The 25,311-nt window shown below is 50.7% G+C and overlaps 1 protein-coding gene and 1 pseudogene across 3 annotated transcripts in view, besides 6 other annotated features; one reads left to right on the forward strand and one right to left on the reverse strand.

The window, feature by feature from the left end:
• Window positions 1-6,422, reverse strand: part of ADCY9 (adenylate cyclase 9) — a 163,056-nt gene extending 156,634 nt beyond the window's left edge. For all 3 annotated transcript variants that reach the window (XM_011522353.3, NM_001116.4, XM_005255079.4), the window contains exons 1-2: window positions 5,670-6,422; window positions 3,730-5,465 (exon numbers count right to left, since the gene is read on the reverse strand). In XM_011522353.3, coding sequence (XP_011520655.1) covers window positions 3,730-5,422 — 1,693 coding nt within the window. In that variant the 5' untranslated portion in view covers window positions 5,423-5,465; window positions 5,670-6,422. The remainder of the gene's footprint in view (window positions 1-3,729; window positions 5,466-5,669) is intronic.
• Window positions 3,356-3,566: a silencer, noted in NCBI's record as "fragment chr16:4163377-4163587 (GRCh37/hg19 assembly coordinates)". NCBI's record gives its function as "represses an EF-1alpha promoter that drives an FKBP-Casp9 reporter gene in an ReSE screen in HepG2 liver carcinoma cells {active_cell/tissue: HepG2}" and the evidence as "EXISTENCE:reporter gene assay evidence [ECO:0000049][PMID:32094911]".
• Window positions 6,560-6,629: a silencer, noted in NCBI's record as "silent region_7145". NCBI's record gives its function as "represses an Ori minimal core promoter by ATAC-STARR-seq in GM12878 lymphoblastoid cells {active_cell/tissue: GM12878}" and the evidence as "EXISTENCE:reporter gene assay evidence [ECO:0000049][PMID:35858748]".
• DBIP3 (DBI pseudogene 3) lies at window positions 20,572-20,975 on the forward strand (annotated as a pseudogene).
• Window positions 21,320-21,821: an enhancer, noted in NCBI's record as "NANOG-H3K4me1 hESC enhancer chr16:4181341-4181842 (GRCh37/hg19 assembly coordinates)". NCBI's record gives its function as "activates a minimal SCP1, AML or CMV promoter by ChIP-STARR-seq in naive H9 embryonic stem cells {active_cell/tissue: H9 hESC(naive)}" and the evidence as "EXISTENCE:reporter gene assay evidence [ECO:0000049][PMID:30033119]".
• Window positions 21,822-22,321: an enhancer, noted in NCBI's record as "NANOG-H3K4me1 hESC enhancer chr16:4181843-4182342 (GRCh37/hg19 assembly coordinates)". NCBI's record gives its function as "activates a minimal SCP1, AML or CMV promoter by ChIP-STARR-seq in naive and primed H9 embryonic stem cells {active_cell/tissue: H9 hESC(naive and primed)}" and the evidence as "EXISTENCE:reporter gene assay evidence [ECO:0000049][PMID:30033119]".
• Window positions 23,393-23,933: an enhancer, noted in NCBI's record as "H3K4me1 hESC enhancer chr16:4183414-4183954 (GRCh37/hg19 assembly coordinates)". NCBI's record gives its function as "activates a minimal SCP1, AML or CMV promoter by ChIP-STARR-seq in naive H9 embryonic stem cells {active_cell/tissue: H9 hESC(naive)}" and the evidence as "EXISTENCE:reporter gene assay evidence [ECO:0000049][PMID:30033119]".
• Window positions 23,934-24,473: an enhancer, noted in NCBI's record as "H3K4me1 hESC enhancer chr16:4183955-4184494 (GRCh37/hg19 assembly coordinates)". NCBI's record gives its function as "activates a minimal SCP1, AML or CMV promoter by ChIP-STARR-seq in naive H9 embryonic stem cells {active_cell/tissue: H9 hESC(naive)}" and the evidence as "EXISTENCE:reporter gene assay evidence [ECO:0000049][PMID:30033119]".

Raw genomic sequence — 25,311 nt, forward strand, 5'->3', positions numbered from 1 at the left:
CTCTTCTGTCCACCTGGAGAGCCACAGCCTGATCTCAGGACCCAGCTCCAGCAGGAGCCCCCTCTAAAGCGCTCCCCACTCCCGAACATACTCCACAACATTTTTAACTGTGAGCTCACGGAGGTTGGGAACTATTAACGCAGGTCAGACGCGCCCCAAAGTGGGGCCGAGCCCAAGAGGGTTCTTGGCTTTGCCCAGGAAATAATTCAAGGGTGAGCCGGTGGCAGGAAAGAAAACACCTTTATTGAAGAGGCAGGCAGTGTTATACGGCTCCATGACTGCTCCTGCAGAGCTGGGCTTTCCCAAAGGCGGAAAGTAGCAGCTCAGGGCAGTTTTGCAATCATACTTATACCTACTTTTTTTTTTTTTTTTTTTTTTTTTTGAGACGCAGTCTCGCCTAGGCTGTCGCCCAGGCTGGAGTGCAGTGGACATGATCACAGCTCACTGCAACCTCCACCTCCTGGGTTCAAGCGATTCTTCTGCCTCAGCCTCCCGAGCACCTGGGATTACAGGCGCACACCACCACACCAGGCTAATTTTTGTATTTTTAGTAGAGACGGGGTTTCACTATATTGGCCACACTGGTCTCCAACTCATGACCACAGGTGATCCACCCGCCTTGGCCTCCCAAAGTGCTGGGATTACAGGCATGAGCCACTGCGCCCAGCCTTACCTTATACCTACTTTTAATTTCCTGTAGAGTAAAGGTAGGCTTAGGCAGACACTTCTAGGAAAAGGGTGGTGGCTTTTGGGTTGTCAGGTCACGGCCATGGAAAGAGGCAGTAACTCCGGGTGTGGCCATGGCGACAGTAAACTAACAAGGCACACTGGTGGGCGTGCCTTGCAGAACGCTGCTTCTGCCCCATCCCTGTATCAGCTAGTCCTCAATTCGGTCTGGCATCTGAACCCCGCCTCTGGAGTCGAGTCCCACCTCCTACCTCACGATCACGGATCCTGCTCCACGATCACGGATCCTGCTCCACATCCACAGTGCCAGGTGCACAGTCAGTGCCAGGGGCACGACACAGATTTCAGAGTGAAGGAATGTGCAGAAATCATGAAACTACCCTTCTGCAAAGCCTGTTCGGATAAATTTGAATGAGAGGAGCTTCCTTCTGTGCTCCCAGGCTAGTTCTAGAAGCCCCTTCTCATTCTATGGATGCCCATTCCTGCAGGGCCGCTACTGGCTGCTTTTTAACCCTGGGATCAGAAAAGGGGGTAAGAGGGAAAGGCTAATACACCCAGTATTGGGGTTTTTTTTGTTTTTGTTGTTGTTGTTTTTTAAGACAGAGTTGCTCTGTCGCCCAGGCTGGTGTGCAGTGGCGCAGCCTCGGCTCACTACAACCTTCTCTTCCCGGGTTCAAACAATTCTCCTGCCTCAGCCTCCCGTAATACCCAATATTGTATAGAGAAAACATCTGCCACCAGCCCAAAGGCAGAGGCTAAAATCGATCTTACATGTAGATAAGCTTAACTATGTGTGTGAAAGGGTCTTCTACAAACTGTGCTGTCATCTCAATTTAGCTTTGTAAGGACAGTTTCCAAAAGGGCCAGGAAGTTGTGTAGACATACTCTATTCCTGGAGTCCTATCCACAAAGGTTTGTAAAATGAGCTCAAGAAAACAAAATCGTGGTCTCAGAGAAAGAGCTAAAGGAAAGAATATCACTTTTAAAAAATCAGCAGCTAAGCTAAGCCTTCTATCTTCCCTACTCCCTACAGTACTAAAACTTTTATAAATATACAATGTACACAAATGTCAAGAAAAGTTAATTTACCAAATTTACACTATTTGAGGTTTAAAAAAAAAAAAACACAAACTCACTCTAGCATTTTTTTTTTTTGGCTCTGTGTCTGAGACCCCTGATCTACAAACTTAAAAATAAAACTACTCATAAATTCACAAAATAGGTATTCAATGACTTGGCAATTTCCAAACATATTTAATAATTACACCCTCTTCATTTTTGAAATTCGAGTAATACAGCATACAAAGTACAGCTTACAAAACGTTCTCATTGTCCTCTGGGCCAACATATTTAATTTAACGTACTGCCGCCCAGCTCCACCGTCCCACAGTCTCCAAGGACAGAGCTCACAACACCTGGGCCCTAAAAATGCCAAGGTGGCAAGCAGGGGGTTACACCCACAGCCCCGTCCACTGACACCTTCAGACTCAAGAGCGAGTGCCACCGCCCTAAACGGAAAGACACTCATCACGGCAGCATCTTTCAAGTGAACAGAAAGTGTAGTTTCTGACCTTGTTAACATAGTCCTTAAAGTGCTCTAGGTTAGGGGAATTCTCGGGTGAAAATAGTTTTCGTCTACATCCATAAAATCTTCAACAGCAAAGTTAGTAAAATAAAGAAAAATCAGAAGAAAGATGATGTTCCCTTGCCAGAGAACAAATACATAAAAGATACAGGAGCTCAGATCACAAGCCAGAGAAAGAGAATGCCAACTGGACACATAGGATGATCTCACACCAACGACCTATGCAGGCCCTACCTCAACCACTGGACGTCTCTGACTGACACTATTACTTCTGCCGTCTCTGATTGAAACTATTACTTCTGCCATCTCTGATTGGAACTATTAATTACTTCTTCCGAGGATTCCCTTTCCTGAGGCTTTTAACTGTTTAAGTATGCAGTGTGTGGGGACCACAAAATACAATACAGCTTCACAAAAGCAGGCTTTTAAAAAAAATCAGTGTTATTTTCTCTACATACTTCCACAACAGATGTTCCCCTCAATCCTGAAGATTTTAGTAAAACATAAGGACTGTTTAAAAAGGAGGAAGTGGGGGAAGAAATGTAGCAGATTACTTAAAATCTTTCTTTTTCGTCCTACTTATTTTAATATCATTTTCCAGATCTCAAAGACTTTTGTCCTATATTAGAAAAAACAAGCAGCCCAGTAAAAACATCAAGAATAGCAGTAAGGAGCTTCAAACCAGGGACCAGGCACCAGATCCAAACCTGAGAGGATGAGGGAGGGGAATACCAGCTCTCCGGCAGGTACGTTTCTCCCTTCCAAATCACCTGGTGGCTGGAGAAGCTCAATATGAAGCTCTTCACTTAAGGCAAATACTATGATAATAAAATATCCTTAAACAAATGATGGCTGAAAGCTGAAAATGCAAACTTTTTTTAAAAAAAAAAAAAGACCTAGATAAAAGACAGTGTGTACTCAGAGGTAAGTAACTCCGTCTAATTCTCCAGAGACCTGCAGGACTGCGCCGACTTCCTATCCCTATTTTGAGGATAAGCAAAGTGAGGCCTAGAGAGGAGAAAGATTTTATTCTCCACGTTTTCGCAAAAAGGGCAGAGAGAAACATTTGGATGGGACTTCAGGGTGACCAAATGAATGCAAAGGCAATTTCCTTAAGTGCTAAACAGTGCTGAATGCTGAAGGGCTCCATACCCTTACATTCACCGGACGTGCCCCCACATTTCAGCCAACCAGTGGTTATGCACGTTCAAAGTTCTCCTTCCTTCTAAAGGTCGCGTCTAGGTCATCTCTGCACAGCGTCCCTTTCTGCAGTGTGAACAGATCTGTGATATTTGACCCGCTGAAAGAAAAGTCACACTGACCCTGAGATCCCCCCATGGTAAGGCATTCTGAGATACCTGAGCTGTCTGCAGACACTGAGGCTGGAAGCTTTTTTTTTTAATTTAATACAATCAGGATCAGGGAGGGGGGATGCCGAGGTAAAGCAGTGCACATACCTTTCAACTGGTCAGCAACCACGCTCTGGCCCAGCCGTTCAATAACTTTCCCATCTTCCATTTCGTACCGGTCATCTAAGTATTTTGCGGTGGCCTCAGAAATGTGAACTTTGCCGGCCACTCCCAGCTGCTCCATGAGATTGGCCAGGTTCACATCGTTGGACCACACGTCAAATTTAAACCTCCTCATGCCCAGGATGCCGCAAAGGACGGTGCCCGTGTGCACCCCGACTCTCATGTTCACCATCTCCTTCTTCTCCTGGCAGAACTGCTCGATGGCCTTGATCATGCCCAGGCCCATCTCGATGCAGCAGTAGGCATGGTCGGCCCGGGGCTCGGGACAGCCCGCCACGCAGTAGTAACAGTCTCCCAGGGTGCTGATTTTCTCACACTTGGTCTCCTCACACAGGCGGTCGAAGCGACCGAACAGATCGTTCAGGAGACCCACCAGGGCGTGGGCAGACTTGTTGGCACTCATCTTGGTGAAGCCCACGATATCTGCAAATAAAATACTGACTTCTTCGATCTGCTGCATCTTAAAAGGGCGGAAGGCTATAGGAGCTTTTTGGATGGAAGACTTTTTCTTCCTGTTCTTGGGGCTCGAGGTGGCATGCCTCTTGACAGAATTCTCACTCTCCTCATCTCCCTGCTTCATTAAGTCATCGGCTATGATTCTTGGCATCACGGAATGAATCATCCTCTCTTTGAGGGCTTTTTCCACTTCCAGGTCCTTCCCGTGCATAATGGATTGCCCCACCTTGAGGAAGGTGCTCCTGGACCTCACCTGGGACATGACGAACAGGTGGACCCCGATGGCGTGGATGCAGCCGTGGAGCAGCCCCCTGCTCAGCAGCTCCCAGTGCAGGGCCCCGGCTCCGGGCGAGGGGAAGCAGGCTTCATCCCGGAAATGGTAGCCAAAGGTCTCGAAAAGGACAGAGTAGGCCACCCCCAGACACAAACTCAGGTACAAAGGTAAGTGCATGACGGTATAGAGCAAAAAGAGCACTTCGATGCACATGGAGAAGCTCCCCACTTGAGATAAGCAAGTATCTGTGGGCCGGGCTGTGGCCGTAAGGTTGGAGCTGTCGCCGCGTCCTGAGACAGGCGTCAAGACCTGGAACTGCGCAGCCAGGGTCAGGGCGAACACCAGCAGGGTGAGAGCCAGCGAGGTCCACGCGTAATGCCGGGCGTACAGCTTGGTGAAGGTAAACAGAAAGAAGCCCACACACACCAGGAGGAAGCACAGCGCGGGGGCGACCATGACGATCAGTCTGGATCTCATGTGGACCGCAAAATAGATGCTCCACAGAAGGCAGGCGAAGCCGATGTAGAAGAGCGCATACCGGAACCGGCGCTGGGTCTGCGGGAAGCAGCGCTCCAGGCAGGCCTCCTCCAGGTTCACCGAGTCGAACTTGGGGTCCCACCAGCGGCTGGAGGCCCTCTCGAACAGCTGGGGCAGCTTCTTCTGCCTGCGCAGCCGGCCTCCGCCGCCCACTCGCCGGGGGACGCCCCCGGAGTCCCCAGAGCTGCTGCAGCTAGAGGAGATGCTGTATTTGCAGTGCTTGGGGTGGCTGTTGGAGGACAGCTGCTTGGGGTTGATCTTGACGCGCACGCTGTTGCTGTCCCCGCTGGAGTCGCAGCTCACCTCGGTGCTGTGGTGATGCAGCAGCTGCTGGTGGGGTGGGGAAGCCATGTTGTCGAGTCCCGGGGCCTGCCCCGGCCGGGGTCACCAGTACCTGCCAGCAAAACGGGGAGAGTTAGCGGCGCTCCCACCTAGGCATGCACGCCTAGAGGCCCGGGACCTGCTCCTGTCCTAAGGGGCGGCTCCAGCACGCGACCTGGACAGGCACCATCTGTTCCTGTGGTTCCCGGCTCAGCGGTGCTCCCACCGCCCCCACCGCCCCCACCTTCGAGGCGCACGAGAACCGCTCGGGACGGACCTAGAACGCCCGGGGGTCCCCGCCGCGTGGCCGCCGTGGCTCCGGGACCGCTTTGCTCGCTCGCCTTCCGCGCCTCTCGCCCCGAGGGTGGCCTCCGCGCCGCGCGGCTTCTCCTCCTCGCGCGCTCGCCTCCTCCAGCTGCGGCTCCGGAGGGAAGTTCAGACCTTGAGCGCTCCCAGCCCCGCGAGCCGCCTGCGCACAAACAACTCCGCTGGCGGCGCGGAGCCCTCCATCCTGCAGGAGCCGCGCTCCGATGCGTCAAAGGCGGCGCGCGGCCGGCCCCGGGCCCGGACCCCGACCCGGAGCAGCGAGCTTCGGCGGGCGCCCCCGGCTCGCGCTCCCCGGCCGCCCCCCGCGCTCCGGGCCGGCCCTGCCCGCGGCGGCGGGCGCTGGGGGTGGGGGCGCCCCGGGCTGCGAGTGCGCGGAGCCCGTCGGCGCGGCCCGTCTAGTGGGGCCTGCTTCCCCCCGAGTGCGCCGCCGCTCCCGCCGCGGCCGCAGCTGTCCCGGGACCGAGCGCGTGGAACCACGGACGCGGGCCCCTCGCCGGGCGGCGGTGCAGACGCTGCCGCAGAGCCGGGCTCCCGCGACGCCGGCCGGGACGCCCGCCCGCCCGCGCCCACGCCGGGGGCCGCCTCCCCGAGCTAGAGATGCGGCCGCCGCCGCGCCCGCCGCCGTGTCCCCCGCGGCCGCTGCCTCATGTCGGAAGAGCTGCCGCCGCCACCATCTCCGGCCCCTGCCCCGCCCGCTGTCACTGACAGACGCGCGCCCGCGCCGCCCCTCGCCCAGCCGCAGCGCGCACGCGCGGCCCGCGCTCGCCGCCACCGCCTCCTGGCCCCGGACACGCGCACGGGCCGCGCGCCGCCCCGCCTTGGTGCGCGCGCTGGGCTGGGGCTGCGGGGCGGGGCGGGGCGGGGCGGGGCGCGCGCTCGGCTCCGCCCCCCGCCCCGGGCGGCGCCGCTTCTAGGCGGCGGGCTGTGGCCGCTGTCCGCGCTCCGGGCGCTGTGGGCCCGCCCTCCCTCGGCGTCCCAGAGGCCGCGCGCCGCCCGGGGTCCCGACCCTGCGGAGAGACCTGAAGGCGCCTGCCGTGGAAGAAGCCGCTGGCCGCAACGTTTGGGAAATCAAAATGTTGCCTTCCCACTCGGCACGCCTTTGGGATAAATCGAAGTTTCCAACCGTTGGATTTCCCTCCCGGGAGGCTCCCCTTGCTCTGTAAGCAATGAATGCGGGCCCCGGGGCACTCGGCCTGCCCTGGACCTGCTCACGGGGCGACCTTCACGGGCCTAGCCTCCAAAGCTGGGCCCACCGACGACCACGTTCCCCCGCCCCAGGGGTAGTTTACCTTGCTGTCCTTGAGCCCTTCTCCCCCTCCTCATGAACTACTGCTTTTCCTTTTACACAAATGAGACTTTCAAAGGAGTCCGCGTCCCATAATGGCAGTTGTGCATTGGCCTCCATAAACATTGCCACGTGTAAATAAAATCCTATTCTCTCTAGCATGCAGATCCCGACCCCTTCTCCCCACACTCCACAGTGCCTCCTGCCAGTCACGGGGCTCTCTTCCATCCCCTCCCTCGCCTCCCAGGCCCAGCGCCGGGGCCCACACCAGGTCTCACTGTTGAATTAGAAAATAAAAGTAAAATGTGATCTGTCCATGCAATGGAATATTATTCGGCTACAAAAAGGAATGGAGCACCGATGCATGCTGCAGTGTGGAGGAACCCGGGAAACGTTATGCTAGTGAAAGAAGCCAAACAAAAAAGGCCACATAGCGTATGATTCCATCCAGATGAAATGTCTCGAATTGGCAAATCCGTAGAGGCGACACAGATTGGAGGTTGCCAGGTGCTAGGGGAGGAAGATAAGCAGCTTGGGGTTTCGTTTTAGGATGATGAAAAAGTCTAGAAATGATCCAACAGGATGAATCTACATACTGCCCTTGAATCATACACTTTAAAGTGGTTTAGGCCGGGAGCGGTGGCTCACGCCTGTAATCCCAGCACTTTGGGAGGCCGAGGTGGGCGGATCACCTGAGGTCGGGAGTTCGAGACCAGCCTGACCAACACGGAGAAACCCCATCTCTACTAAAAATACAAAAATTAGCCGGACGTGGTGGCACATGCCTGTAATCCCAGCTACTCGAGAGGCCGAGGCAGGAGAATTGCTTGAACCCGGGAGGCGGAGGTTGTGGTGAGCTGAGTTCGCACCATTACACTCCAGCCTGGGCAACAAGAGTGAAACTCCATCTCAAAAAATAATAATAAAATAAAATAAAGTGGTTTAAATGGTAAATGTTATGTTGAGTGTATTTTACCACAATAAAGGAGGAAAAAACTAAAAGCAACATATTGTGGTGGTATTCCTGCAGAAGTGTGTAATCTCAATCCAATCGCAAGAAAACACCAGACAAACCCAGATTGAGACCTGTTCTACAAAGTGATTAACCAGTACCCATCAAAAGTGTCCTTGGACACTTTGGGTCTTGAAAGACAAAGACTGAGAAACTGTCACAATCTAGGAATCGTCCCTAAGGGGATAGATACAACAACTAAATGGAACATGGGATGCTGGTTGGGAACATGGAACAGGAAAGGACAGTAGCAGGAGAGCGGGCAAAATTCACATAAGATCTGCAATTTCCTGGTTCTGATCCTCTTACTATGGTTAGGTAAGACGTTAACATTTTTAGGGGAAGCTGGGCCCTGTGCAGTGGCTCACACCTGTAATCCCAGCACTTTGGGAGGCTGAGGCAGACAGACCACCTGAGGTTAGGAGTTCAAGACCAGCCTGGCCAGCATGGTGAAACCCCCGTCTCTACTAAAAATACAGAAATTAGTTGGGCATGGTGGTGTGCGCCTGTAATCCCAGCTACTCAGGAGGCTGAGGCACAAGAATCACTTGAATCCAGGAGACGGAGTTTGCAGTGAACCGAGATCATGCCACTGCACTCCAGCCTGGGCAACAGAGCAGGACTCCATCTTGGGGGAAAAAAAATTAGGGGAAGCTGGATGTAGGATACAGGGAAACTCGCTAGTATTTCTGCAACTCTTCAAGTCTAAAACTATTTCAAAATAAGTTTATCTAAAAATTTAAAAAATAAACCTTTAATGAACATCAATTCTATGCCAGGCACTCTCACATACGAGGTTCAGAAACGCATGGTGTGTCACATGCATTCGCTTAGTAAATGGGATAACAATAGTGAACTAACATTGACCGAACACGTCATAAATGCCAGAAACTACTGGACATTTTCACCTGTGACACATTTGGTCATTGCCACAACCCTCTGAGGTAGATACTATTGTCCCTTGTTTAGAGAGGTGAAACCCAGGATTGAAGAGAAACGCACCCTAGGTCTCCCACTAAGGGTGATGAGTTCAGATGGAAAACCAGGTCTCAGAATTCTGAGGCCATGACGCCTTGTGTGACCCTGGCACTACCCTCTGCAAGCCTCACGATGGCCCAGCACAGACTGTACCTGTCTCATCCATCAGCCCAACTGGATGGGAGGCCCTCAGAGCCAGGACTCACAGCTTCCGTCTTCCCTTGCTGGCTGCAACGCTGTGCTCCCTGCTTCCTGGTTTCCTGAAACGATCTGAAAGCTTGCCTGTCTGCACTTCTTTCCTCCTCCCTAAATCATTTGTGGTAACTTATGTGTTTGTAAGTTAGTCACGTCGGATTTTTAGACACAAGTAATGGTCATACTCACCTCCCTACTTCTCTGGAAGCAATTCGGCCACATTGCCTGCTGTGGAAACCTATAAGCTGACAAGCCTCCCCAGTCTCCAGGTCAGGGAGTGAATCATGCCATCAACCCCGGGGGACTGGGGCTGTGGTGCCAGCACTGTGTGTCAGGCCCTGGAGGTACAAGGATATGCCATCCATATCTTTTCTTTTCTTTTCTTTTTTTTTTTTTTTGAGACGGAGTCTCGCTTTGTCACCCAGACTAGAGTGCAATGGTGCGATCTCGGATCACTGCAACCTTTGCCTCCCGGGGTTCAAGCAATTCTCCTACCTCAGCCTCCAGTGGAGCTGGGATTACCACCATGCCCAGCTGATTTTTGTATTTTTAGTAGAGACAGGGTTTCACCATATTGGCCAGGCTGGTCTCGAACTCCTGACCTCATGATTCACATGCCTTGGCCTCCCAAAAGTGCTGGGATTACAGGCGTGAGCCACCGTGCCCAGCCGCCATCTGTTTCTTTAAGGGGCTTAGGAACGATGTCCAGGGGAGGGGTTGGGTTAAGAAGATGGGATCAATTAGGCTTTCTGAAGGATTGGATGTGAAGGAGAGTTCTATAAAGGAGGTTAACCATCTTCTCATAATGCCAAGACCCAAAGGGAAGTCACTGGAGGGTTCTGGGTTCTTCTTGACCTCCCAGAAGCATAAAGGTACCCGATTCACAGAAGATACGGGGCAGATGCAATAGCTTTCTTCAAACATCCAATCCAGGGTGCTGCCAAATCCACAGAGAGTTTCTTTTTTCCATCTGTGATGTGTACAGAACTCCCACCTGGACACAGTGGGAATCAGAATGTGTCCATGAAAACTCTGCAAAAGCTTGCAGAATGCCTTGCCTGCCTCAGTGTCTCCTCCTCACCCTCCCTCACATGCAAATTCACATGATGGGTGAGGACCTTGGCTCCAGGATATCAGAGGTCAGACTGGGTGGCAACCATGACAGGCTTTGAGATAAGTTGCATAATGATTGAGTTGTAGCCATTCTCATCACACCGGCCCCTGAGGACTCGGCAGTGCCTACGTGATTTCATTTGTCAGGTGGACCACAATCTTGGAGAACCATCTGCTGGAAGATGGGATTCCCTGCTATGGCCTGATCATGCGTCCAAAACTGCAGTTACAAGCTTTGAGTCTTTTTCTCTTTCAACTGATGAGGGTGAGTTTGTAGGAACGTACCTGCTTTTTTTTTTTTTTTTTTTTTTTTTTTTTTGAGATGGAGTCTCACTCTGTCACCCAGGCTAGAGTGTAGTAGCATGATCTCAGCTCACTGCAACTTCCATTTCCCAGGTTCAGGCAATTGTCCTGCCTCAGCCTCCCAAGTAGCTGAGACTATGAGCATATGCCACCACACCCAGCTAATTTTTGTATTTTTAGTAGAGGCAGGGTTTCACCATGTTGGCCAGGCTGGTCTTGAACTCCTGACCTCAAGTGATCCTCCTGCCTCGGCCTCCCAAAGTGCTGGGATTATAGATGTGAGCCACACGCTTGGCCTTTACCCACATTTTTTCTCTACCATTGACTGCTGTTCACAAGCCTCCAGCAGCTACCTTCACATTGACAGGAAGATCAGGCGTCTCAGCAAAGCAAAAGATCCTTTGGAGAAGATCACCAAAATACCTGCAGGTGCCTCCATAACCAGGTGTATTCCATCTAGCCACATCCATAGATTCTACATCCAGCCATGCCCAGTTTAGAGGCCAATACAAATTCATTGAATGACTGCATATGGGAGTTATATTAATATATTTTTATTTTTTTTTAATGGGTTCAACCAGGAGGCGGAGCTTGCAATGAGCCGAGATCTCGCCACTGCACTCCAGCCTGGGCGACAGAGACTCCACCTCAAAAAAAAAAAAAAAAAAAGGTTTCAAGAAATTCTCCTGCCTCAGTCTCCAAGTAGCTGGGAATATAGGCATGCGCCCACACACCCAGCTAATTTTTGTATTTTTAGTAGAGACAAGGTTTCACCATGTTGGCCAGGCTGGTCTCAAACTCCTGACTTCAAGTGATCCACCTGTCTCCGCCTCCCAAAGTGCTGGGATTACAGGTGTGAGCACCCAGCTGGCAATCACATTTTAAGGCAAGGAGGTGCCGATTGGTGGCCCCAACAAGATGAGCTTGGTTGAAAGAGCAGATGGGAGATTCGAAGTAAAGCATGGTGTCTGTCACTCAGCTTTGTCACCTGGCACAGCTCCTGCTGGAGCTTCCATCCCATCTGTGTGGAATAATGGTGAGGAGCCCAGGATTGGGTGTAGGAAAAACTCTGCAGGAGCTGTGAAGTGGGTTGAACGGAGTCCCCTCAAAATTCAGGTCCACCAGGATCCTCAGAATGTGGCCTTATTTGGAAATGGGCTTTTGCACACATAATTAGTTAAGAAACAGTTGTACTGGACCACGATGGCCTAAATCTGATGACTGGCATCATTTTAAGAAGAGGAACCGGGCACAGTGGCTCATGCCTATAACCCCAAGGCTTTGGGAGGCCAAGACAGGAGGATCACTTGAGCCCAAGAGTTGGAGACCAACCCAGACAACAGAGTGAGCCCTGCGCTTTTTTTTTTTTTTAATTTGAGATGAGGCCTTGCTCTGTTGCCCAGGCTGGAGCGCAGTGGCGTGATCTTGGCTCACGGCAACGTCCTCCTCCCAGGCTCAAGTGATCCCTCCACCTCAGCCTCCTGAGCAGCTGGGACCACAGGCAGGCACCACCATGCCTGGCTAATTTTTGTATTTTTAGAGAGATGGCGTTTTGCCATGTCACCTAGGCTGGTCTCAAACTCCTGGATTAAAGCAATCCACCTGCCTTGGCCTCCCAGAGTGCTGGAATTACAGGTATGAGCCACTGCACCCAGCCCAAAAATGTTTTTTAAAAATTAGCTAGGTGTGGTGGCACGCACCTGTGGTCCTAGCTACTGAGAAGGTCCAGGTGGGAAGATCGCTTAACCCCAGGAGTTCAAGGCTGCAGTGAGTTGTGATTCCGCCACTGTATTCCAGCCTGGGCACCCTGTCTCAAAATAAAAAATTAAAGTTAAGGCCAGCGCGGTGGCTCACGCCTGTAATCCCGGCACTTTAGGAGGCCAGGGCGGCTGGATCACGAGGTCAGGAGATCGAGACCATCCTGGCTAACACGGTGAAACCCATCTCTACTAAAAATACAAAAAAATTAGCAGAGCATGGTGGCAGGCGCCTGTAGTCCCAGCTACTTAAGAGGCTGAGGCAGGAGAATGGTGTGAACCCGGGAAGTGGTGATTGCAGTGAGCTGAGATCCCGCCACTGCACTCCAGCCTGGGGAACAGAGTGAGACTCCGTCTCAAAAAAAAAAAAAAAAATTAAAGTTAAAAAAAGAAAAAGAAGAGGAAAAGACACAGAGACATGCAGGGGAGGAGAAGACAGATAAGACAAGACAGAAGACATATAAAGACAGAGGCAGAGATAAGAGTGATGCAGCCACCAGCCACGGAACCCCAAGCGGTCCTGGGAGACTCCAGAGGCTGACAGAGGCAAGGCAGGATCCTGCCCTAGAACCTTCAAAAGAAGCGTGGCTCCACGGACACTTTGATTTCACACTTCTGGCCTCTAGAACCATGAGAAAGCGAAATAAGAGAGATGGGGCCAGGCACAGTGGCTCACGCCTGTAATCCCAGCACTTTGGGAGGCCGAGGCGGGTGGATCATCTCAAGTCAAGAGTCTGAGAGCAGCCTGGCCAACATGGAGAAACCCCATCTCTACTAAAAAGATAAAAATTAGCCAGGCGTGGTGGTCGGCACCCGTAATCTCAGCTACTAGGGAGGCTGAGGCAGGAGAATCACTTGAGCCCGGGAGGCGGAGATTGCAATGAACTGAGATTGCACTACTGCACTCCAGCCTGGGCAACAGAGCAAGACTCTGGCTCAAAAAAAAAAAAAAAGGGAGTAATGGAATTTTCTTGTCTCTACAAGAAAATGAGAAGAACAGCCCAAGAAACCCAGCATCCAAATAATAAAGGGTTTCAGAAAGAAGAGAGAACACAGAAGGGAGAAACTGCTGAGCAACCATTCAAGAAACGTTTTCCTAAATGAAGAATGTGATTGAAAAGGACCAGCAAGTGGCCAACACGATGACTGGAAACAGACCCACACCAAGACACAGCGCAGCGCAACTTCAGAACTACAGAGAGCTACAGGGAGAAGCTCCGGCAAGAAAAAGCAGGTTTCAAACAGAGTGTGGAGAATGAGGATGACACCTAGATGCAACCATCTGGGGATGGGGAAGGGGCGCAGACAGGCATGTAAATCTCCCAGGGTGATTCTCGTAATCACGTGTTGTTTAGAATAATCAGGCCAGGTCATTTTGTCGGGGATCCCACCCCCGTGTCACCATCTGCTGGTATTTTTCCTTGGATTAATTAGTCAGGTTTTCCAGAGAAGACCCTTCAGGCTTGCTGCCACTCAGCTGAGAGGGGCAGAAGGCTGGAAGTCTCAGCCTTCAGTATCAAAACCTTCGCTCAGCAAACCATCCGTAGGGATAGTTTCAATCCTATTGGCGTGCTGCCAACCCTTACCCTGAAGTCCTATGGCAGTCACTTGCAGATGGGGCTGGATCTACCATGATGAACCTGAACTTCCTCGGAAGCATGCTTCTGTAGCCAGCATGGGAGAAACTTGCAGGCTTGTTAGGAAGATGCGTGTTTATTTTAGCCACGGGGTAGTACCAAAATACCATTAACATTACTCAAAAATAAGTTTGCCGGCTGTGGGCGGTGGCTCATGCCTGTAATCTCAGCACTTTGGGAGGCCGAGGAGGGCAGATCGCCTGAGGTCGTTAGTTCAAGACCAACCTGGCCAACATGATGAAACCCCCATGTCTCCTAAAAATAACTAAAAATACAAAAATTAGGGGGGCGTGGTGGTGCACACCTGTAATCCCAGCTACTCAGGAGGCTGAGGCAGGATAATTACTTGAACCTAGGAGGCGAAGGCTGCAGTGAGCCGAGATCACACCTCTGCACTCCAGCCTTGGTGACAAAGGGAGACCCCATCTCAAAAACACATAAAATAAGTTTGTGAGCCAGACAAATATGATCGCAATGCCAATAGATAATAATTTTTTTTCAAACAGAAAAACTCCAGGAGAAGCCAGGCATGGTGGCTCATGCCTGTAATCCCAACACTTTGGGAGGCCGAGGCAGGAGGATTGCTTGATCCCAGGAATTCCAGACCAGCCTGGGCAACATGATGAGATCCTGTCTCTACAAAAAATTTAAAAATCACCTGGTCATGGTGGCATATGCCTGCAGTCTCAGCTGCTCAGGAGGCTGAGGTAGGAGGATCGCTTGAGCCCGGGAGGTAGAGGCTACAGTGAGCTGTGATTGCATCACTGCACTCCAGCCTGGGTGACAGAGCGAGACCTTGTCTCAAAGAATACAAATAAAATCAATAACTAATAAAAGTCTTATTGCTCTCGGTAGCCATAAGCTTACGGTTTTCTAGGAATCATGTTTTCATTTGGAACAGCACCCACGTACTCTCAGACACAGCCATGAGCAGCTATCCAGGAGGAGGAGACAGTGGATCCGCATTCTGTATTCTCTCTGGGTCCCTCCCCATCTTGGGGTGGTGAGGCATGGCTCTTCTTTGGCAATTTATAGTGTTGCTGAGAGACACACACACTGCTGGAATAAATCACTGGGCGTCTATGCTGTGAATTGAGCCCCGAGGAGCGTGTGGTTAATGGACCTTACTTCAACACTCTGGTCTGTCTGAGAGAAGCGTTCTCTCTTCCCAGCATGTAGTGGGTTCCAGGGAGGAGGTGAGCAGGGGCAGGAGGTGGAAGCTGGATGGCTTCCCAGCTTCTCCAGGGCCAGGTCTTCATTAGTGTGGCTTCATTATTGCATGTGCAGTGCTTTCCCAGAATATCTGACACATCCATGCTCAAATGTAAGTACAGAAACGAATCCGTAAGGCAGGTAGGAGTTACTACCAACTTTCTGCAAGGGCACCATTTGACCCCTTTGCCCTTCGTAACCTAGGGCACACATCGTCTCATTTGGAGGGAACCTGAAGGCCATCACAGCTGGAAATGAAACCGAGAGTATCTCACAGTAGCCCCAAATCCAAGCCTCGTTCTAAATCTCCAAAGGCCTAGGGGATTTGGGGCCTTGACGGGAAAAATCAATCCCCCTGCATCATACCACCACGCCCAGGCACTGGCTGCTTCACTGTAGCTCGCTCTGGCTCAGTTCATGGGAGCCGTGGAAGGAGAGGTGTGGGTCTCTGGGTTCCCACTGTGTTGAGACAATCTATTCTTACTCCAAAGAGCTATTCAGGCCAAAAAGAGTTGACTAGGGCTTGCAAGGTCTATAACCTTTTTCTAGTCAACCTAATGCTTTTTTTTCTGAGACGGAGTCCTACTCTGTCACCCAGGCTGGAGTGCAGTGGTGTGATCTCGGCTTGCTGCAACCTCTGCCTCCCAGGTTCAAGTGATTCTCCTACCTCAGCCTCCCGAGTAGCTGGGATTACAGGTGTGCGCCACCACGTCTGGCTAATTTTTGTATTTTTAGTAGAGATGGGGTTTCATCTCTCTCAAACTCCTGACCTCAAGTGATCTGCCCGCATCGGCCCCCCAGAGTGCTGGGATTACAGGCATGAGCCACAACGCCCGGCCAACCTAATGCTTTTTGGGCCTTAATTCCCTGATAAAAACTGGAACTCTACTTTTAGGCTATGTCTACAGTACTTTAGAGACTATCAAAATAGCTTTGTATTGATGTCGAAAAAAGAAAGTCTGAGTTCTAGGAATGACAGCTGAGTACCACAGAATTCTTCCTAGACCCCATTCTCCGCCCCAGCCCTTCAAGTAGATTAACCCCATTTAATGAAACAAATCCTGATTGTACTTACTATGTCAAAGCAATGTGGTAAATTGCTGAATACTAAAGATAAATGTAAAACTAACCTGCTTTCCTATGTATAATATTGTTTAGTCTTAAAAAGGAATGGAATTCTGACACGCTATAACATGGATGAACATGGAGGACATTATGCTGAGTGAAAGAAGCCAGACCCAAAAAGACAGACACTATATGATTCCTCCTATACGAGGCACTTAGAGTAGTCAAATTCATAAAGACAGAAAAGAAACTGCTGGTTGCCAGGGGCCAGGACGGGGCTAATGGGGAGTTATTTAACTGATAAAGAGTTTCAGGTTTGTAAGATGATAACAGTTCTGGAGACAGATGGTGGTAATCACTACACAACAATGTGAATATACTTAATGCCACTGAACTGTACACTTAAAAATGTTTATAGACCTGGCAGGGCGCGGTGGCTCACGCCTGTAATCCCAGCACTTTGGGAGGCCGAGGCGGACGGATCACGAGGTCAGGAGATGGAGACCATCCTGGCTAACACGGTGAAACCCCGTCTCTACTAAAAATACAAAAAAATTAGCCGGGCGTTGTGGCGGGTGCCTGTAGTCCCAGCTACTCGGGAGGCTGAGGCAGGAGAATGGCGTGAACCCGGAAGGCAGAGTTTGCAGTGAGCCGCGATCGTGCCACTGCACTCCAGCCTGGGCGACAGAGCGAGACTGTTTCTCAAAAAAAAAAAAAGGGGGTTATAGACCAGATGCAGTGGCTCACGCCTGTAATCTCAACACTTTGGGAAGCCAAAGCGGGGAGTATCGTTTGAGGCCAGGAGTTCAAGACCAGCCTGGGCAACATGGTGAGACCACCATCTCAAAAAAATGATAATTTTTTTTTTTTTTTTGGAGAGATGGGGGAGTCTCACTCTGTTGCCCAGGCTGGATTGCAGTGGCACAATCTCGGCTCAGTGCAACCTCCACCTCCCGGGTTCAAACAATTTCCCGCTAATTTTTGTATTTTTAGTAGAGACAGGGTTTCACCATGTTGGCCAGGCTGGTCTTGAACTCTTGACCTCAAGTGATCCACCCGCCTCAGCCTCCCAAAGTGCTAGGATTACAGGTGTGAGCCACCACGCCTGGCTAAACATTTTTTTTTTAATTAGCCAGATGTGGTGGCATGCATCTGTGGTCCTGGTGCCTCAGGAGGCTAAGGCAGGAGGATCATTTGAGCCTGGGAGTTTGAGGCTGCAGTGAGCTGTCATCACACCTCTGCACCCCAACTTGGGTGACAGAGAGAGACCCTGTCCCAGAAAAAATGTTTTAATGGTTATGGTGATGTTAAGAGCAGAATTGTGTCCTTCCAAAATCCAGATGACGAAGTCCCCAACCCCGGTACCTCAGAATATGACTGCATTTGCAGATAGGGTCTTTGAAGAGGTGATTCAGTTAAAATGAGGTCATTAGGATGGGCCCTAATTCAGTATGACTGGTATTCTTTTTTTTTTTTTTTTTTTTTTTTTTGAGATGGAGTCTCACTCTGTCACCAGCCTCCGCCTCCCAGGTTCAAGAGATTCTCCTGCCTCAGCCTCCCGAGTAGCTGGGATTACAGGCGCATGCCACCATGCCTGGCTAATTTTTGTGTTTTTAGTAGAAATGGGGCTTCACCATGTTGGCCAGGCTGGTCTTAAACACCTGACCTCGTGGTCTTAATCACGAGGTCAGGTGTTTAAGAATACCACCCATATGACTGGTATTCTTCTAAGAGGAGGAAATTAGGGACCAGGTGCAGTGGCTTACGCCTGTAATCCCAGCACTTTGGGAGGCAGAGGCAGGCAGATCACAAGGTCAGGAGTTCAAGACCAGCCTGGCCAACATGGTGAAACCCCATCTCTACTAAAAATACAAAAATTAGCCAGGTGTGGTGGTGAATGCCAGTAGCTGTGGTCTCAGCTACTGGGGAGGCTGAGGCAGGAAAGTCACTTGCACCCAGGAGGTAGAGGTTGCAGTGAGCCGAGATCAAGCCACTGCCCTCCAGCCTGGCAACAGAGTGAGGCTCCGTCTCAACGAAAAAAAAAAAAAAAAAAGAGGAGGAAATTAGGACATACAGAGGCACAGAAGGAAGATGGTGAGGAGACACAGAAAAGACAGCCATCTATGAGCCAAGGAGAGAGGCCTCAGAAGAAACCAACCCCGTCCACACTGTGCTGTCAGTGACAACAGAACTGTGACAACATACATTTCTGTTGTTCAAGCCACCTCATCACCAATACTTAGATATAGCAGCCCTAACAAGCTAATCCAGGTGGTAAACTTTCTGGTATGTGTATTTTACCACAATTAGTAATAATAGGCTGGGCATGGTGGCCCATGCCTATAATCCCAGTGCTTTGGGATGTGAGGCAGGAGGATTGCTTGAAGCCAGTTGAAGACCAGCCTGGGCAACAACACAAGACTCCATCTCTACAAAAAAAAATTTTTTCTTCTTTTTGAGATAAAGTCTCACTCTGTCTCCCAGGCTGGAGTGCAGTGGCACCATCTTGGCTCACTACAACCTCCACCTCCCAAGTAGCTGAGATTACAGGTGTGTGCCACCATGCCCGGCTAAATTTTTTTTTTGTTTTTTTTGACATGGAGTCTCACTCTGTCACCCATGCTGGAGTGCAGTGGTGCAGTATCTGCTCACTGCAACCTCTGCCTCCTGGGTTCAAGCCATCCTTCCAACCTCAGCCTCCCAAGTAGCTAGGATTACAGGCGTGTGCTACCACGCCTGGCTAAATTTTTTGTATTTTTAGTAGAGATGGGATTTCACCATGTTGGCCAGGCTAGTCTCGAGCTCCTGACCTCAAGTGGTCTGCCCACCTGAGCCTCTCAAAGTGCTGGGATTACAGGCATGAGCCACTGTGCCCGGACTAAAAAATTAAAAAACAACAAAACAAAACAAAACAAAAAAAACTTAGTTAGGTCTGGTGGTTTCTGCCTATAGCCCCACCTACTCAGGAGGCTGAGGCAGGAGGATCAAGTAAGCCCAGGAATTGGAGGCTGCTGTGAGCTATGATTGCACCACTGCACTCCAGCCTGGGCAACAGAGCAAAACTCTGTCTCTAAATAATAATAATGAAAATAAAATCATAAGCCTAAGAACATGCAAGTGGAAAACAACCACCACCTGCCTTCCTAGAGCGCACAGACTTCCCGCAGCTCAGAACGGAGCAGGCATGGTGAGTGTTATTAGAAAGGCACCCGGGAGAGTGCAGAAAGACAGGAGGTTCATGTGGACAGAGCAGATTTGGAAAAGCATCTTTGATACAGGAAGGGTGAGAACGGTGTCTTGAAAGAGGTGGTAGGACCCTGCCAGGCAGCCATGGGGCTAAGAGGAAAGAGTTCCAGAAAGAAAGGCACTGTGGGCCAGGGAGCAGGGTGCATTGTGAGAAACAGCACGTGGTGTGGCCCGGGCAGATAAGTGGCCAAGCCAGAGGTGCAGGGCTAGACAAGCAGGCAAAGGGGTCGGTAGGTAGGGCCAGGCTGAAAGGTCAGGATGAAAGTCATTCCAAATTCTGCCCCTGCAAGGAAAGCTTTTTATTTATTTATTTATTTATTTATTTATTTACTTTTTTTGAGACAGAGTCTCACTCTGTCACCCAGGCTGAGTACAGTGGCACGATCACAGCTCACTGCAACCTCAACTTCTCCAGGCTCGAGTAATCCTCCCACTTTAGCTTCCTGAGTAGCTGGGACTGCAGGTGCACACCACCATGCCCAGCATTTTTTTTTTTTTTTTTTTGGAAGAGGCGCAGTCTCACTATGTTGCCCAGGCTGGTCTCCAACTCCTGGGACACAAGTGGTCTTCCATCCTCGGCCTCCCAAAGTGCTGGGATTACAAGCATGAGCCACTGCACCTGGCCTGAGAAACACTATTTTTAAATTTCTATTTCCTGAGCAGGGTTGGAGAGCGTGGGGCTGCGCCTCTCCTAAAGGCACTTGCCAGTGCAGTCCTAGTAATCGCTTCCTGCTCCTTGCCTCCTCCGCTGGCTCCCTGGAGTCCTTGCAAGCCAGTCTCAGGCTGAGTTTCAGAAAGCTGTGGAGGGCTGGGTGTGGTGGCTCACACCTGTAATCCCAGCATTTTGGGAGGCCAAGGCAGGCAGATTATGTGAGGTCAAGAGTTCCAGACCAGCCTGTCCAACATGGCAAAACCCATCTCCACTAAAAATACAAAAATTAGCCGGGCATGGGTGGCATGCAGCTGTAATCACAGCTGCTCGGGAGGCTGAGGCAGGAGAATCACTTGAGCTGGGAAGAAAAAAAAAAAAAAAAAGATGTGCAGGGTATTAAGCACTTTAAGACCAAGCCAGCAGATGATGAGATGCGGTTCCTCTACGGCCACTACAAACGAGCGACTGTAGGCAACATAAAGACAGAACGGCCCAGGATGGTGGACTTCAAGGGCAAAGCCAAGTGAGATCCCTGGAATTAGCTGAAAGGGGCTGCCAGGGAAGATCCCATGAAAGCTAAAGCTTACGTCAACAAAGTAGAAGAGTTAAAGAAAAAATTCAGAATACGAGAGACTGGAATTGGTTGCCAGCCATGCCTTTGTCCTAAACTGAGACAATGCCTTGTTTTTTCTAACACTGTGGATGGTGGGAACTGATGGAAAGAATCAGCTAACCCATCCTCAAGGCTACTCAGGATAAAGTTCTAATAGATTAGGGGCTAAAACGATTACTGACCTTCCCTCAGTAGTTTTTATCTGAGATCAATTAAGTGTATTTGTGGCTGACTGTGGTGCCTCACGCCTGTAATCCCAGCACTTTGGAAGGCCGAGGCGGGTGGATCACCCGAGGTCTGGAGTTTGAGACCAGCCTGGCCAACATGGTGAAACCCCGTCTCTACTAAAAATACAAAAAGTAGCCAGGCGTGGTGATGTGCGCCTGTAATCCCAGCTACTAGGGAGGCTGAGGCAGGAGAATCACTTGAACCTGGGAGGCGGAGGTTGTAGTGAGCCGAGATTGCACCACTGCATTCCAGCGTGGGGGACGGAGCGGGACTCCATCTCAAAAAAAAAAAAAAAGGGTATTTGTTACTTTAAATTAAAAATATCTTTTTCTACTTCCACTGCACAGTCATTTTTCTGGCTCTCCCCACCACACCCCTCACCCTGCACAATTACCCCTCTTGCATGTACCTCTCTAGCCGTGAATCTTCAGGGATGGGAATATGAGGTTCTTGAGATGGGATTCATCGCGGGAATGACTCCAAGAAAAGCTGCCAAGTGAGGCTTTCATTCACTTCCCCAAGATGAAAGAGCTGATCTCTCGCCTGTGTTCCCCTCACAGTCAGGACCTGCGTCTGTTATTTACCACCATGCAATTTAAAATTAGATGCGTGTCACCTGAGGCTCTAACAGCTGGAAGGCTTTAAAATTAGATGCGTGTCACCTGAGGCTCTAACATCTGGAAGGCGGTGATCCAGTCACATTTATGCCACCTGAGGGAACAATCCCGGGTAAGTAGTCCCAGCGGGGCTCAGAGGTTCAGGCTTGTCCCACACAGGGTCCAGGAAGGGCCGGCACTGGGGCAGCCTGGCTCCTGGGCCGTGGGGCTTCAATGCAGGCTGTCCGCACTTCATTGTCCCTCACCACACCTGCTACTAGAAGCCCATCGGTGACCACAGTTGGAGAGAGGGAAGGCCACACGAAGCAAGAAGTGCTGCAAAATCGTGCGATGCTGAAAAGGGAATGCTTGTTTGCAGTTTCGTTCTCCCTGGTTGAGAGCCAACTTTCTTTAATAAGCACAGTTCAAATCCTGGTAAAATCCAAAGCCTGAAACCACCTTTTCCCACCTCTTGAGTTGCACAAACGTGCATTCACAGATACCAGGGTGCAACATGCTGGGACGTTATATTACGTGTAAATCATCATACAAACACCCTGGGCTTTTGAAACATGGCTTGCAAGAGGGTTGCACCCAAACTCTTGGGCCAGGCACAGTGGCTCACGCCTGTAATCCCAGCACTTTGGGAGGCTGAGGCGAGGAGTTCATTGACATCAGGAGTTCAAGACCAGCCTGGCCAACATGGTGAAACCCTGTCTCTACTAAAAATACAAAAATTAGCTGGGCATGGTGGCAGGCACCTGTAATCCCAGCTACTTGGGAGGCTGGGGCAGGAGAATCGCTTGAACCCGGGAGGCGGAGGTTGCAGTGAGTCGAGATCGCGCCACTGCACTCCAGCCTGCGCAACAGAGTAAGAGTCAGTCTCAAAAAAAAAAAAAAAAAAAAAAAAAGAGCCCAGACACGGTGGCTCATGCCTGTAATCCCAGCACTTTGGGAGGCCAAGGTGGGTGGATCACCTGAGGTCAGGAGTTCAAAACCAGCCTGGCCAACATGGCAAAACCCCCTCTCTACTGAAAATACAAAAAATTAGCTGGGTGTGCTGGCACGCGCCTGTAATCCCAGCTACTTGGGAGGCTGAGGCAGGAGAATTGCTTGAACTCAGGAGGCGGAGGTTGGAGTGAGCCGAGGTTACGTCATTGCACTTCAGCATGGGCGACAAAGCGAGACTGTCTCAAAAAAAAAAAAAAAGGGTTGTACCCAAAGTCCTGTGAGTCTCACAGTAGTCCTGCAAGTAAGAGGACAGGACAAACCGGCCCCCTCGGACAGACAGATGCGGGCTCCGAGACTCAGAGCCAGTGTAAATGCCTCCTGGAAAGTCACAGCCATCCCATGATAGAAGAATCTGGGGCTCGAACCCCAGGTTTCTATCCCAGTGTTCCTCTCTGCTTGACCCTTAGAATAATAACCACCATTTATGGTCACTTACTCTGTGACAGTCATTTTCCACTTATTATTTCCTTTGATCCACACCACGCTTTGAGGAAATCAAATTTAGCCAATAAATACTAGAGGAAGCATTGAACTCAGGTGTGTCCTAAATTAGAAGGCCACCTTCTAATTCAGCTGCATTCAATTACTTCTCTTCCTTCCAGTTCAGTTCCACTCTTTATTTTTTTTTGAGACAGAGTCTCGCTCTGTCACCTAGGCTGGAGTGCAGTGGCACGATCTCAGCTCCCTGTAACCTCTGCCTCCCAGGCTCAAGCAATCCCTCACCTCGGCCTCCCAAGTAGCTGGGACCACAGGAACGCACCACCACATCTGGCTAATTTTTTGTATTTTTGGTAGAGACGGAGTTTTGCCATGTTGGCCACTCTTAAAAGGACACCTGTCATTGGATTTAGGGCCCACCCAGGTAATCACATCGCGAGATCCTTAGGTTAATTATATCCACAAAGACCTCATTTCCAAATAAGGTCATATTCACAGGGACTAGATTTAGGAATTGCACATGTCTTTTTGGGGGGATACTGTCCAACCTAATTCAAGGACGAGGCAGATTCAGGCCTACAGTATCCCCAGTCCTCAGTGGTAGCTGCCTCTGCCACAACCCTAGGAAGGGTCAGGCCTGGGGCAGGCAGCGGGAAGCAGAATCAGCCCTGGGCGGGTCTGGGCAACCCATCCGTCCAAGAATCAGAGACAAGGGCCAGCATGCTGGTTCCCTGGGCAGCAAGTGAGTAGAACACAGGGCCAGGCAGGGCCGAAATCGTGGTTCATGAGGCTCGGGGAGGTCGAGGAAAGCAAGCGAAACCCAGAGAACTAGGGCAGCACTGCCAGGACAGTGCTAACATCACATTCCTGGGCTCCTTAAGTCTCCCGAGAAGGTGCAAATTGCGTTAATTGCCACTGCTGAGGCCAGGCCATGGCGCCCTGCTGGGGGCTAACCTTGCGTGACCCGTCAGACCAGAGCTGGGCTTCCTCCTGGTTTGGTATCCGCTGGAGCTGTAAGGGCCCGAGGGTCACAGTGCCTCTTGCAGGAGGTATGGCCTCACCAGTGCCCAGGCAGGGACAGTGGCCATTCAGGAGTGCCCTGGTTTCCAAAGTGATAGAGGTCAGATGTGCCTGGCCACACGCAATCCTGGGCTTCATTTATATGCAACAAACCCATTATCTGCTCCCAACAAATAGGGAAGGAGGCTAAGACGTAGGCGGATGAAGGGAAAGTGCCTCCAAGACCTGCAAGTTAGGATAGAGCTGGCAGCCAGGGGTTAGGGAAGTGGAAGGAGGCCCTGCGGGTTCTGGAAGAGGACTGTGTGCAGCTACAGCAGCGGGCTTTGCAGTGGGACTGCCTGGCTTCAGACCTTGGCTCTTCAGCTTGCTGTGCAACCTTGGGATAGTTACTCAACCTCTCTCGACCTCAGTTCTCTTCCCTGTCAACCGAAGACCAAAATAGAACCTACATTATAGGGCTATTATGAGGATTAAATCAAACAAGCCAAAAAAAGCACTTCACACAATACCTGGTATGTAGTAAATACTCAACTAATGCGGGCTATTATCAACCAGCCACACTGGAGGGAAGCCTTGAAGGAGGGTGTGGTTTTCTGTGTCAGCTTGGCCAGGCTATGGTATTTGGCTGTTTGGTCAAACGCCAGTCCAGATGCTGCTGTGAAGGTATTGTTTTAGGTGTGATTAATTAATATTTATATCAGTAGACTTTCAGTAAAGGAAATCACCCTTCACAATGTAGGGGGGCTTTATCCAATCAGTTGAAGGCCTTAAGAGAAAAGACTGAGGTTCCCAGAGAAATAAGAGATTCTGCCTCCAGGCTCAAGGCTGCAGCATTGGCTGGGTGTGGTGGCTCATGCCTGTAATCCCAGCACTTTGGGAGGCTGAGGTGCGTGGATCACCTGAGGTCAGGAGCTCAAGACCAGCCTAGTCAACATGTTGAAACCCCGTCTCTATTAAAAATAGAAACATTAGCCGGGCGTGGTGGCACACTCCTGTAGGCCCAGCTACTCGGGAGGCTGAGGCAGGAGAATTGCTTGAGCCTGGGAGGCAAAGGTTGCAGTGAGCCAAGATCACGCCACTGGACTCCAGCCTGAGTGACAGAGTGAGTCTCCATCTCAAAAAAAAAAAAAAAAAAAAAAACAAAACACCAGGACTGCAGCATCAACTCTTCCCTGAGTCTCCAGCCTGCTGGGCTGCTCTACAGATTTCAGACTTGCCAGCCCCCCAATCC

The sequence above is a fragment of the Homo sapiens genome, chromosome 16 (genome assembly GCF_000001405.40).
Source record: "Homo sapiens chromosome 16, GRCh38.p14 Primary Assembly".
Taxonomy (NCBI): domain Eukaryota; kingdom Metazoa; phylum Chordata; class Mammalia; order Primates; family Hominidae; genus Homo; species Homo sapiens.